Source organism: Homo sapiens, chromosome 4, assembly GCF_000001405.40.
Source record: "Homo sapiens chromosome 4, GRCh38.p14 Primary Assembly".
Taxonomy (NCBI): Eukaryota; Metazoa; Chordata; class Mammalia; order Primates; family Hominidae; genus Homo; species Homo sapiens.
The window spans coordinates 168906207-168921381 of NC_000004.12; the positions used below are offsets into that span (position 1 = coordinate 168906207).

Here is a 15175-nt window from a genome sequence, read left to right on the forward strand (position 1 = left end):
ACTGGGAACCTGCTATTAATTTCAAGACATTTTTCTTAGCATGTTTTAAATTGTTATTGGAATAAGCCATTTTATAGAACAAAAGAACATAAACGTAAAACTGCAATTGTGAGTCCGCTTAGTGTCTTCCTCAAATTATAATAATGCATTTTTACATGTGGAAAAGTTCTCAGTGAGGAAGGACTGACTCAGTGCTCATGGCCAATGGCAGTGTGCAGAGTTTAAGACAGCAGGCCAGCCTTGGGGGTCAGTAGTCTCCAGTCATTTAAACTCTCTTGACAAATTATTATGAAGTCACTAGATGAAGGTGAGCTGCTGAAAATCTCCCTTGGATCATTCCATATTACATACATATAATATCACATTGTACCCCACAAATATATACAATTATAATTTATCAATTAGAATAAAAAAGAAATTTTTGTTTATTCATTTAGAGACAAGGTCTTCCTCAGTCACCCAGGCTGGAGTACAGTGGCATAATCATGGCTCACTGCAGCTTAGAACTCTTGGGCTCAAGCAGTCCTCCCATCTCAGCCTCCCAAAGCACTGGAATTACAAGCGTGAGCCACTGCCATTAGCCAAAAATAAATTTTTAGAAAATAAATGTAATCTTACCCAAAGCCCAATATATAATGCCAAAAAAAAGAAACCCTTGTTAACATAGGAAAAAAAGGAAAGGAAGGAAATAAAAAAGAAATGTTACTACAAATACCAAGATTGTAGGGCAACACCGATGATACTGAAAAAACCTAGGATGAGGCCGGCAGGCCATGCAGTACAGGGGTTATGAGCATGAACTTTGGCATCAGGCAATCTCAGCTGGAATTCTAGCTCTGCCACTCACTACCTGTGTGACCTTAGCAAGTCACTTAACTTCTCTGTGCCTGTTTCCTCCCTCGTAAAATGAGGATGATAATAATAATAATAATAATACAGATTTAAATAGTACATGTAAAAAGCATTCAGTTTACCTGGCACATACTATGCTTTCAATAAATGCTAGTTACTGTCATTATTTTAATTCAGAGACAGTAACTACCCCATCTTAAAGCAACAGGCCTACAACAGAAGCCTGTGGAACCAGATGTAAAGGATCAGTTCTGTGTCTAGGTACTCCGTTCCCACAGTACTGTCAGAAAGTAAGCAAGTCAATTTGGGATGGAATTTCTACCCAGTATGTTGTTGCTGTGTGGTCTTCTGACCTCCTGGCTTTTCCATTTTATCACCTCCATGGGAAAGGACTTAGGCAGCAGATGTGGCTGTGCCACAACTGCCACAGCTGTGGGCTTGGGTGGAGGAGCTGTGAGCTAGAGGACGGCCACACCCATAGCACAGCTGACATCAGCCACACATGAAGCTGGGAAGCTGCTCTCTACTCTCAGCACCCTCAGGGCCAAGAGAAGCCCCAAAAGAGAGTGGTTACTGCCCTTATTCCAGGCCCCAGAATTCTCTGCTTTGCAAATCCCAGGCTGAGCCCCATGGTTAACCCTCTCTGGTTCTTTGCTCTACCCTTTGGAGAGAAGACAAAGCAATGAGAAGTGGACCAAGAACAGCCCTCCTAATAGAATATCCTATCCAACCTGTGATTTCAGCCAAGGGTAAAATAACTACTCTGGGTCTATCAAAAGGAGAAAAAAAAAAGATTCAAAGAACCCAGAGCATCACAGTAAACAGACCAGTTTCTAACACTACCTATTATAGTATTCCAACCAACTCCAAAGATCAGTTGACACTCCCAGCATCTTAAGGGGTAGGGCTAAGAGTCTTCTTTACCTAAATAACCCAAGACAGGCAAAAGGAAGGGAAACTCATGAAGTCTAGGCCTCAGTGTGTAAATGTATATATCCCACTGAAATTGCTGTGAGAGAATTTTGATATTTATGCCACTTAGCAGTAGTAGTATTTGTTCCAAGTTTCTGAGCATGTTGCCTAGTTGATTTTAATTCCAAGAGTAAAACCCCTTCTTTTCTGTCTTGGGGGCTTCAGTAACTGGTATGTCCAAATATGGCAGATATAAGTTCTGTGAGTCATCACTTAAAAATTGGAGTGAACTTCACTATCCATTAGCAAAACAAAGTGGCATTTAAACCATGACCAGTGACACACCATTTTTCTACCTAACTCTTGGCATAAGTTACCATTTGTTGCTGTAAGGATGCCATTCTGGAAATGTTTAATGCTCTTAGAATCTCAGCTTTACAACATCTATTACCGTATATTAAAACTTTTTTCTTATAATTTATGAATTAAGACATGAGTTTAAATAGTCATGTCATAAAAGGTGGTGAAAAAAAAATTCAAAATAGCTAAATCTTTCAAGATATAGTAATCCCAAAAGCATAAAGTGTAGTTGACAGAAAACTGAAGTTGACTCCTTACTTCCTTAATGCCCTTTAGTTACCTTAAATTTTGAAATTTTAAAGTTATTTGAGTTTAGAAAAAAAAGTATTTGGGTTTGAAAGGGAGAATACATGTATGTTTTCTAGTACACTGTAGCCCAGATGAAATGAAATAACCAAGGAAAAGAGGAAGACTAGAGTGGAAAAATTAGTTCAGTAATGAAACACAGACGGTAGAGCTCTCCTGAGCAGTGGAAAATAATTACAGAAAGCAGCCAAGAGAAGGGTGAGAACCAAGGAGGGAGGAAAATATTAAAGTTCAGCAGAATATTTTATAGAATATGATATTTTTCCACCTGGGTTAATCTTTTGGGAATAAGAAAAACATTAGATATTGTTGACTGCATCCAAATTCTACTTGGGATAGAACACACAGCTCTAAACATATACTGGGCTGTGTATCACACTCGATGTGTGTAGCTCAAGCAATTCATAAGAGACCAAAGCAATCACATAGTTTAGCAAAATAATGAGTGACTGTGCAGTTACACCAAAGAGAATGCCAAAATGAGGATCACAAATACAGTTTATTTTAGACTCTAATCCTATCTTTAAGAACAACGACATCTAAACACGAATGTTTTACTTTGTTTTGTTGTGTTGCTAAGTTACTTTGTATTGCACTTGGATTTTGGAATGGCTATTTTGCAGTCTGATGTTTCCTCAAACTGCATTATGTATACAAGTGGCAAGCTTTTATGAAGACCTGTGTGCCACAAGTTAAATTTCATAAACTATGAAATATAAATGTTATTTCCATATTACATAAATAATTGGCCTTGCACAAGGTATGAAATAATCTTTACAAGCTGGATGTTTAATACAGAATCACTTTTAGAATTCAAACTTATTTGTAATATAAGCTTTAAACTCTGTGGATTTGTTTGGAATGGAAAAGTAACACACAACTGAGTTAAATATAAAATGTTAGTTTGTTGCTTGTGTTTTGTTTTAGCATTATAAGGTTTCCTGGCTCATTTCAAGCTTCACTCTAAACATTCCCTTCCATTATTCTTATGTTCATAGTAAAGCAGATAGAAATGAGAAAATTAATAAAAGCAAATGCAGCAGCATTAATGTGCATCAGAGCCTACTAACTATGATTACCAGGGTTAATAGGCATATTATTATTAAAATCACTTATTGCTAATTCTATATGACCTTTGTCAAAAATAGTATGTTCAGACTTAAAAACCTGAATTTTCTATTATGCACATGGAAGGCATCTTTTCAAAAAAGCTTCACTGAACTCTGGGGGTTTTTTCCCCCAAACAAAAATGACAAAATTATACAACTTCTTAGTTTGGATGCTCTCTAAATGCTCCTGGTTATGTATTGGTTAGTAATATATTTAGCCAATAACACTGTATAAATCAAACTAATAATTCTGCCTCCTGAAGACCACACCTTCCCCTTTCATGTTCAGAAGTGCAGGTTGGTATCAGAATAGAGAGATTACAAATGATAACTATTCCTTTTTCTTAAATTTGGGAAGTTAAGGAAATATTCTGTGGCAATATTTGTATATATGGTTCTAAGCAGTAGCAGCAAAAACCCTGAAAACAGTGTAGAAATGTGTGACCTTTCCAGAGTAGTATGCCAACCTGTTTACTTTTTTTTTTTTTTTTTTTTTGAGAGGGGAGGAAGAGGCAGGCTAAGCATATCAAGGATCTGTTTAGAGCTGAATAGGGCATATTTTTCCTCCTCCACATCAAATGCAGCCATCACACTAACAAGTACATTTCAGTATGATTGTGCTTAGCACCTTTCAAGCACCAGCAGAAGTTAAAAAGGTTAATCTGCTTCCCACATAGTCTGCCTCCTGTGCCAAAGGTATTTTGTTTTTCCTTTGGAGTAAATTACATTCTAATACCAAGAAAAATAAAATTCCATTACATAAACAATTCTAAAGGATGCCTCAAAACTGGTTATTATAATTATATCCATAGTGAGTGCTACAATAATTTAACATTTTGAGCATTGGCTTCATGCAAAACACAATGCTGCCCGGTGCTTTACAAGTATTAATGCCTTTAATCTTCATAAGAACCCATTAGGTATTAACTATATGGCCTTGTTTTACAGAGAAGGAAACTTAGAAAGATTAAGTTACCTGCCTAAAGTCACTCACCTGTAAGGGACAGCAGAACTGGTTTACAAACTTAGACTGATTCCAGAGCTACTGAATGCAATACGAAGGTATTTAAGGCTCATTCCAGGATTAAGAGCACTAAGTGGCAGGGGAGATAGTGGTTAAATATGAAAGAATTTTAGAAGGAGGTAAGCATATACCTCATGTAAAGTATATTCACATGGAAATTCTTGCTGGGGTCCGCCAAGCTGCTGGGGCTCCTAAAAACCATCTTGATGCATGTCCATGCATAATGTCTCAGACCCATGATAACACAGTACCAGCTATGAGGAATTTAATAATGATAATTTATGATGTCACATACCATTTGATATTTATGAGAGCATTTAGGTTACATCATTTAACCCTTAAAACATCCTTGTGAGAGATATATGTAGCATCCCTATTTGTACAGAAAAAGAAACAAAGGCTTGAACAAATTCAGTGATTTGCTCAAAGTTTTAGGAAAAGTCAGCACTCAAATCCAGGTTAGTGAGGTGTGTTTGTTTGACTGTTTGTAACAACCCATACCTCCTTTTCCAAATTCAAGTTTAAGTCTGAATTTAACTTACATTATATCTTTTTCTAACCGCATAAATGATTAGTTCATTTTAACTTACCATGGATCTTCTGAGCTTCATATCACAAGGAAGGATATATCCAAATTATAAGCATTTCATCATGGAAGCCGCAAAGCACATAATAAGGAAGCCATATCCCACATCAGGACAATTGGAAGCTATTTGTGTAAAACAATACACACACTTCCTTGTCCTCAACCTCCAAAAAGAATCATTAATTTTAAGTGTTCATGTGTTATCTTGTATGATGCATCAGTTGGATAGTTCATGATGGAGGTCTTCTAAGCAAGTTACATCTAGATTTTCTACAGCAAGTACAGATCTGGAGAACTTGGATGAAATTAATTTTTAGATTTCAGGCTAGTTTAGGGAATCCCAAATGTTTGCCAAGAGTTTAGCATAAGAATCTGTATCAAGTGGCCTGTGCTTCAGGTACAGTTAATCTGAGCTAGAAATAATTCTCCTTCATAATGTTAGACTTCATGTCTCCTTGGAAATTTTCAGGAAACACAGTGTTTTAACTATGACCTCAATAGCAAACACCGTGAATGCCAGACGGAGTCACATATGTAGTGGTATAAAACTAGTTATGTTTGTTTCTTTGTGATGACCTCTCTTTGGTAATTCCTCATTCTTCTCCTGTCTGTATTACATTCCTATGTGTCTTTGCCTTTTCTGGGTGGTTATAGCCCTAAAGAAGTCCAGGTTTTAGGAGACCTAGAGAACCCCCCCAGTTAGAGTCCTGCCCTTCAGTGAATCTTGCTATGGGATTTTTCTCTGCATTCCCTCCACTAGTGCCCTCACCCTGACCCCCACTCCAGTCTACTCACAGTTGGAAAGCAGTTCTTCAAAACACACAGAACACTGCAGCTTCTGTTACCTGTCTCTATAGGCAGCTTGCAATAAAAATGACAGCCAATGGGAGAATTTTATTCTGAGTGTAAGTGCATGAGGGCTTCTCATCAACTCTGAGCTAGAACTCACTAAGTCTAATCATTGATGGTACATCTGCTTCTTGTTTTTCCTCTCTTGCTGTTACCTTTGGCAGTCATCACAATTTAGAAGCACATCTTCTCATTCTTCTGAGAGAGTGAAGGAGAAAAATCATCTTTTTTGCTACTCTGCTGGTAACAGTGAAAAAAACAAATTAAGAGAAAGGGCTGAAACAAAAACCAAAGTAACAATGTGTGGCTTATCCATGTCATCTGGGTGCCCTGAGTATTACTTGTCTGTTCACATATGACAGCGTTTATCAAACTCTTTTTTTGCTTTTATTATTTTTAGTTGACACAATGATTATACATATTTATGAGGTACAGTGTGATATTTCAAAGCATGTATACAACGTATAATGTTCAAATCATGGTAATTAGCATATCTGTCACCTCACTTATCATTTGTGTTGGAAATACTCAAAATCCACTCTTCCAGCTATATGAAAATACACAATAAATTATTGTTATCCTACAGTGCTGTGAAACACTAAAACTTTTTCCTCCTATGTAGCTGTAATTTTGTATCCATTAACCAACTTCTGGCTATCTCCCCGACCCCACCACCCCGTCAAAATTTCAATTGACAAATTTAAGAGAACAAAATATAGGTTTTTTTAATTACATAGGCCCTTATCATATGACCCACATATTTTAGGTATTTAACTGCTTCTAGTTTTTAAATCTCAAATATGTTCATTTCATGAGAACATGGCTTCATTTAGTCATGAAGCTCTCCTTATCATCCCACGCATACTTCTTACATAACACTCATTTTATCATGCTCATTTTAATGTATGGTTTGGGGAAGGGATGCCACTAACTTTTTTTTTTTTTTTTTTGAGACAGAGTCTTGCTCTGTCACCCAGGCTGGAGTGCAGTGGCACCATCTCAGCTCACTGCAACCTCCGCCTCCCGGGTTCAATAGATTCTTCTGCCTCAGCCTCCCAAGTAGCTGGGACTATAGGTGCATGCCACCACGCCCGGCTAATTTTTGTATTTTTTTAGTAGAGACGGGGTTTCACCATATTGGCCAGGCTGGGCTCGAACTCCTGACCTCGTGATCCACCTGCGTCAGCCTCCCAAAGTGCTGGCATTACAGGCATGAGCCATCGTGCCCGGCCAGCCACTAACATTTAATTAGTATATTACTATAATTAGTATATTACTAAAAAGAGAAAACTGAAATCATCTAGGTTTGATTTCAGAATTGGCTACAGCTGGTAGATGACCATGAAAATGGAATCTTCACAAGAGACTGATGTCCTCCTGCTATATTTTACAATTCAACATCATGTGTTACGGAGACCTTTGCAGGTTACAATTAATCAAGGGTTGTCATTTTAAATACCATCCTAGATAAAACAGTAAAGCTTATTTAAGAGTTCCAAAAAAAGACCTTGTCACCTTCAAGTTCTTCAAGTAAAAATAGTTTTACTGAGGCACTTAACTCACAGGGAAAGTGTTTTTCTGAAAAGGGTTAGTCATTACTCAAATGGCATACTGAATTTTTTATGAAATAATGTCTTATAGAGAATAGGACAGTAGGCATGATAGTGCTTAGTGGTTAATAGTTTTAAATAGCAAATCATTTATTTCCTGATATTTCTACAGGGCCGCATCAGTTGTACTGGACGGCTAATGGTACAGGCTGTCAACCAAAGAGGTCGAAGTCCCCGGTCTCCCTCAGGCCATCCTCATGTCAGAAGGTATTTAACATGTTCCTTCCCAGAAGTGTTACATTATTTTATTTATTACTATAAATGTAGTACTATTAGAATCATCATATGACCACAAAAGTAAACATAACTGGAAGATAGAATAGGAATGCAAACCTGAAGCCTGTGGCTCCTTGATTATTATGCTCCCTTGTGATGCAGAAAGGGAATGGGAACAAACATTCGCTAATGTGTGCTAAGCCCATTCACATATACTATTAGTTTGTTAAATAAGACATATTTTATAGACAAATAAATCAAGACTCAGCACTTTTAAATGGCATATGAAAATACTACTAAATGGTACACAAATGTTGGAAACCAAACTTCTGTAACCAACAGCTGTGTGAGTGGACGCACACATTAAAAGCTATTACCACTGGGTTTCTTAAAATCAGCTCATTTGTTAATGTTCATTTTTCAGCCACTTAGTTCAAAACATAAGACCATTAGACTACAAATCTTGTAGGTAAGATCTGTCACATTTTAAATACTCAGATATCTGCTAGCAATAGAGATGCTTTCCATTCCTAGTAGTTCTGAGTCTATGCAAGGACACTGATGGAACAATGGTAGGCAGAGATAGAGAAAGGATTATTACTTCTTAGTAACACATTTGCACTTAAAAAAAATTCAGTAAGTCAACCATCCTGTCAACTTGGCCTGTTTAGATATTTTATAGACAGAATATCCTCAAATAGTCCTGAGTCTAAATTACAGGCCATAGGTGCAAACTCCTTTAGTGAAGAGAATACATAGTTAGCTCACAGAGAGTAGGCAGGAAAACTGAGTAAACATCAAACAAGTGGTGTGTGACTGCATCCACACAGACTTTTGTTCAACATTTGGAAGACAGTTCTGGCACCAGAGCATGTGTAGATTTAATTCTAACTTCATCATGGCAATACCTATTCACAGGATGCTAGCCTGTATCTTTGGGTATAAACATAGCATATACAGGATTAGGTCCATTGTCTTGCATTATTCTCTTTGCTTCTCTTGTTGTCTGCAACACATTTTTAAGCCTTTCCTTATATCAGTGGGTCCTGGAAAGCTTTTTTTCCCATAAATTAGATCTATACTTAGAGAAGGGTAAACTATATTAAAAAGCTAATAATTATTAGCCTAGTATGCTTCTTTCATTTGTTCCACTCTTGCTTTTCCTAGTTAAGTGTTTTTAAACTTATCTTCTAGTCACTACTGACAGAATTTGTATTCAACATCTTTTAAGTCTTCCCTGCGATTACTTTCAACTGTATTCCTCTTAAAGGTTTCTCTGGCAACCTTTAAAAGTGACAGAGATGCACAGAATCTGGGAGATTTGTACAATCTCATTTTTTAAAGCAAAAAATAATGCCTCTAGGCATATGGATAACTAATGCAAAAGAAAACTTGCCTAAAAATGTAATTTGTTTTCCTGCTTAATATGAAAAGGAATTTTAATTAAAAATATATTGAATTTTTATCAGAACTTTTAATTTCCTACAAATTTAAAAATCACAGTGTAAAGTTCTAGTAACTTCTGTTGAAAAAGATTTGGTAATAAATGAGCAATAATGCTACTTTTCATAAATATTTAAAAATATTTAGGAAAAATATGTTAATATGTAATACCCCATTTTTTTCCATTTCCCCTTTTATGATTTATAGTAGCCTGCAATTGGCAGACAATTAAATTTATAGTAAACTTCCAAACTAAACAAGAGTTTGCTTTTCTGATTTTTTAATGTGTAAATCTTAGCTGTAGGGATCAGATAAGGAAATCATATTATTACCCCATGTATTTTAAGAAAACAGATGACTAAAAGTCTGGAAGTAACTACTATCTATATTTCTATCTATCTGTCATCTTTCTTGTTTCAAGGCCTCGTTCTAGATCAAGGGACAGTGGAGACGAAAATGAACCAATTCAGGAGCGATTCTTCAGACCTCACTTCTTGCAGGCTCCTGGAGATCTGACTGTTCAAGAAGGAAAACTCTGCAGAATGGACTGCAAAGTAAGATTTTGTTATTGCTTGCATATCCTATTGCCCCACTTCTCCCTCACTTGCCATTTCTCTATAGTTCCTTTTGGGGAAATTACATAAAGTATAAAATGAGAGCTGGGCACAGTGGCTCACACCTATAATCCCAGCACTTTAGAGTCCAAAGCCGGGCAGATCGCTTGATCCCAGGAGTTCAAGACCAGCCTGGGTAATATGGAGAAACCCATCTCTACCAAAAATACAAAAGTTAGCCAGGCGTGGTGGCGTGTGCCTATAGTCCCATCTACTTGGGAGGCTGAGTTGGAAGGACTGCTTGAGCCTAGGAGCTGAAGCTATGTGAGCTATGATCGAGCCACTGAATTCCAGCCTGGGTGACAGAGCAAGACCCTGTCTCAAAAAATGAAATGATTCTAGCTTAAGGGGGGGAAAAAGTGAAATACGTCGGATATTTATATATTGTTTACTATGATTCTTTAAATCTAAATTAAATATGTTCTTTACTCAGAACCCTACATGACATTACTCTAGAAAGTCATCAGGAGGTTTTATTTATCCCTTTAAATGTTGAAATAATAAATATGATAAATCTACCATGTCTTCATTCTTTTTTCATACAAATTTTGTATCCATATATCTACTCTGACTTTTATTCCTCCCATTTTCTAATTCTTTTTTTTTTTTTTTGAGACAGAGTCTCACTCTGTCACCAGGCTGGAGTGCAGTGGTGCAATCTCGGCTCGCTGCAACCTCTGCCTCCTGGGTCTCCTGCCTCAGCCTCCTGAGTAGCTGCGATTACAGGCATGTGCCACCAGGCCCAGCTAATTTTTGTATTTTTAGTAGAGATGGGGTTTCACCATGTTGGTCAGGCTGGTCTCAAACTCCTGACTTCATGATCCGCCCACCTCAGCCTCCCAAAGTGCTGGGATTACAGGTGTGAGCCACAGTGCCCCGCCCCCATTTTCTAATTCTAAGATAAGTTAGAGGGACATCTTTCTTTCATCTGTTTTGCAGCAGGGCTTTTTGTTTTTTTGGGGTTTTTTTTTTTTTTTTTGAGACGGAGTCTCCCTCTGTTGCCCAGGCTGGAGTGCAGTGGTGTGATCTCAGCTCACTGCAGCTTCCACCTCCCAGGTTCAAGTGATTCTCCTGCCTCTGCCTCCTGAGTAGCTGGAAGTACAGGCACGCACCACCACGCCCAGTTAATTTTTTGTATCTTTAGTACAGACGGGGTTTCACCATATTGGCCAGGCTGGTCTCAAACTCCTGACCTCGTGATCCGCCCTCCTCGGCCTTCCAAAGTGCTGGGATTACAGGCATGAGCCACCACACCCGGCCTACAGCAAGGCTTTTTAACCCAAGGTCCTTGGGTAGGCAGGCTTCATTAGGTGTTTGAACTCTGAAATTACCTACAAAATTATGTGTGTAAGATAACGTTCATCCATTTCTCAAAGGAGTTTAGGGAAAAAATATTTAAGAAACACTGCTCTAAAATTTTTTGTTTGATTTCTTTTTTGCCCCCTGTTTACTGATCTTAAATTTAGTTTAACTCTTAAATATGGATAAGGTTTTAAAAAGTTATTTGGGCTCCCTCTGCTGGTTCTGTATGGAATATGAGAACACAAATATAGGCTGCTTAGAGGATTTGGGCATTGTTTCTTCAGAAAGTAAATCTGGGATTATAGAAATGTATAAAAAGAATAAATATAACAAAAATATTTTATTTCTTAGGATCATTATTTATTTTTTACAGTATAAATACACAAATTGTGTTTCAGTCTGTATATATTTTATATATATATGAGTGTGTATTCATTTTTGGTCTATAATTAAGAATTATACAGTACAGCTACCATATGATCCAGTTAATTCTACTAGTGCTTATATATCCGAGGAAAATGAAATCAGAGGCTGGGCACAGTGGCACACGCCTGTAATCCCAGCACTTTGGGAGGCTGAGGCGGGCGGATCACGAGGTCAGGAGTTTGAGACCAGCCTGACCAACATGGTGAAACCCCATCTCTACTAAAAATGCTAAAATTAGCCAGGTGTGGTGGCATGCATCTGTAGTCCCAGCTACTCAGGGGGCTGAGGCAGGGGAATCACTTGAACCTGGGAGGCAGAGGTTGCATCACTGCATTCCAACCTGGGCAACAGAACAAGACTCCCCGTCTCCCCCACAAAAAAAAAAAAAGAAAAGAAAATGAAATCAGTAGCAATATCTGCATTCCCATGTTCATTGCAGCACTATTCATAATAGCCAGGATACGGGATCAGCCTAAGTGTCAACAGATGAATGAATAAAGAAAATATGAGATATATATATATATACATACATACACACACAGTGGAAAATTATAATCCTGTCATTGTGACAACATGGATGAACCTGGAGGACATAATGTTAAGTGAAATAGGCCAGGCACAGAAAGATAAATACTACAGGATCTTACTTATATGTGCAATATAAAAAAGTTGAACTCATAGTAGAGAATAGAATGGTGATTACCACGGGCTAGACGGGGAGAGGGAAAGTTGGGGAAATGTTAGTCAAAGCATATAAAATTTCAGACAGGAAGAATAAGTTCAAGAGATCTGTTGTACAACATGGTGACTATAGTTAATAACGATGTACTATATACTTGAAAATTGCTAAGAGTAGGTTTTAAGTGTTCTTACTACAAAAAAAAATGAAGTCATACATATGTTAATCAGCTCAGTTTAGGTATTCCACAACACATACATATTTCAAAATAATGTGCAGAATTACATACAATTTTTATCAATTAAAAAACACTTAAAAAAATTCATACAGACCACTTGTAAAATAACGTTTTGAGTTAACCAGGGAAATTTTATTTTAAATAGATAATTAGATTATACCAAAGAATTATTAATTTTACGTGTAAAATGGAATTGTGATTATGGAAAAGTCTTGTTTTTAGAAATGCATACTGAGCTATATGGGGGTAATGGTATATAAAATCTGGAATTTATTTTTAAATATAAAAAATAAGAGAGTGACTAAATGATGGGTATATACACACTTACCATACTGGTTATCTCTATTTTTAATCATATTTAAGAAAGAAATAACAGTACTGTCTTTCACTGGACTGGCACATAACTGTCCTTAAAACGCCTGCCATTAAAAGAATATTGGAAACAAAAAGTAAACTGCCTATTGATTTCACTATGATGATCTGACCTGGATAAAGAAAATGTGAAAAATCGGCCAGGCACGTGGGTCACGCCTGTAATCCTAAAACTTTGGGAGGCCGAGGCAGGTGGATCACCTGAGGTCAGGAATCCGAGACCAGCCTGGCCAACATGGTGAAACCCCGTCTCTACTAAAATACAAAAAAATCAGCCAGGCATGGTGGCAGGCGCCTGTAATCCCAGCTACTCAGGAGGCTGAGGCAAGAGAATTGCTTGAACCCGGGAGGCGGAGGTTGCAGTAAGCTGAGATTGTGCCCACTGCACTCCAGCCTGGGCAAGGAGCAAGACTGTCTTAAAAAAAAAAAAAAAGTGAAAAACCTTGCCACATGTACAGATAGATCAGGAAAAAAAAAAAGTTAGTGTATTTAAGCTTTGAAAGGGGAAAAAATCCTGACGATAAGCCAAACACTAAAGCAGCAGCTTGCTTTTCCTCCAAAAAGCCCCCTCCCCTTTTAGCCCCTGAGGAACATTCCTAGACACTGATTATCCTTAACTGGTACTAAATTTTCAGGAAAATAACTAATTCCACTCCCATAGCAACAAGCATCACTATTTTCATGTGTGCTGAGAGTACAGATCTAGTTACATTGTGACCTGCTGGTGGTGACCTTCAGCTCCTGAGATCATGCTGTCTTTACTTAGCCAGGAGAACTGGGGTTAGAAAAAAGGTACAAGGGGCATTCTCTTTGCCCTAGCATGAGTAACTATCCACTGGGTAGGTTCACTGTGAATCACGTGGTTTGAGAGTACGCGTGCTTTGGGCATCTCTCCTACTAAACATACTGTGGCTTCAGTCAGTAGATGGCTTATCTAGGATCTAACCTGGTAAAGTAGGAACAAGCAGTGCCGCTTTGTTTCTAGATGTGGGAACAACAAGGAGCCTGACCAAAGATGTCCACTCCCTCTTCCTCCACACCACTTCTGATGACCTCCAAACAGGTCAGGCAGTGTACATGGAGAGCTGGGGACAGCAAGTGGATAGATAGGAGAACACAGAGCCTGAGTGTCTCAGAAGCCAAGCTGCCTAACTACTGCTGTTTGTTTCCAAAACCTCTTCATCCTTTTAACCAGTCATTTAAGTTTACTTTAAATGCTGTAGCCCTTTGCTACATGTGTGGTGGGAGGCATCTTGCAGGTAATATCAGTTGAGTATCACGTAGCAGGAATGGAATTTGTGAGTCCTCTGGCTGATGCTGGCAAAGCTAGTTCTTCAAAAGAACTGTTTTACAGTCTAAGTGACATCTTTTTGTATATAACTTCGTACTAGTAAAGTTGGGGGTAGGGGGTAAAAAGGCCTTCCTTAACAGTGCATTTCTTCCATTCAAAATCAAGGGCAAAACTAAAAAGCTGGCAGATGGCGACCATCCTGACCCTTTGCGGCACAACATGTTATTAGCAATTAAATGCTTTTATCTGATCTCTGGTCCACACAACTGTCAAGGTCTCAAGATTTTATGATGTTTCCATTGTGATGGTAATTTGTTGAGATGGCTTTCTGGGTAATTTCGTATTGCTCTTGTTATTCAGTTTCAAGGATTATAAAATAATAATAGCAGCCCTGTGTGCTGACGAATGCATTCTCCATAACTATGGCTGCTCCTTGATGAGAAGCTTTACAGTACTATATATAAATGCCAGCTGAGTATTTGTTATTATTGTTGGACATCTTTTTTCAAAGAAGCCCAGAGCCTGGTGCTGATATCATCCCATTAATCTCCATAGCCCTGGGCAAGGTAAGACCATGACAGCAATTTTTTAAATCCCATCTCGGTCTTCTCTAGGTTGCTCTGTAAGAATTGTTTAGATGTAAGCTGGTGAGTGCTCAGGAAGCCAAAGTTTAAAGCAAAAGTTTTAAGCAAAAGAGTAACATGAGCTGATACTAAAAGCCATCTCTTGGCCCGGTGCAATGGCTCATGCTTGTAATCCCAGCACTTTGGGAGGCTGAGGCAGGCGGATCACCTGAGGTCAGGAGTTCAAGACCAGCCCGGCCAACATAGTGAAACCCTATCTCTACTGAAAATACTAAAAATTAGGCTGGCATAGTGGCAGGCATCTGTAATCCCAGCTACTCAGGAGGCTGAGACAGGAGAATCGCTTGAACCCGGGAGGCAGAGGTTGCAGTGAGCTGAGATTGTGCCACTGCACTCCAGCCT

At 38.2% G+C, this 15175-nt stretch overlaps 2 protein-coding genes across 31 annotated transcripts in view; one reads left to right on the top strand and one right to left on the bottom strand.

Annotated features, from left to right (window-relative positions):
• The window catches only part of PALLD (palladin, cytoskeletal associated protein), a 431390-nt gene that overhangs the window by 409155 nt on the left and 7060 nt on the right, over positions 1–15175 (top strand). For all 27 annotated transcript variants that reach the window (XM_011531768.3, XM_011531769.3, XM_011531771.3 and 24 more), the window contains 2 exons: positions 7721–7815; positions 9689–9821. In XM_011531768.3, coding sequence (XP_011530070.1) covers positions 7721–7815; positions 9689–9821 — 228 coding nt within the window. The remainder of the gene's footprint in view (positions 1–7720; positions 7816–9688; positions 9822–15175) is intronic.
• Positions 1–15175, bottom strand: part of CBR4 (carbonyl reductase 4) — a 115770-nt gene that overhangs the window by 11721 nt on the left and 88874 nt on the right. The window lies entirely within an intron of this gene.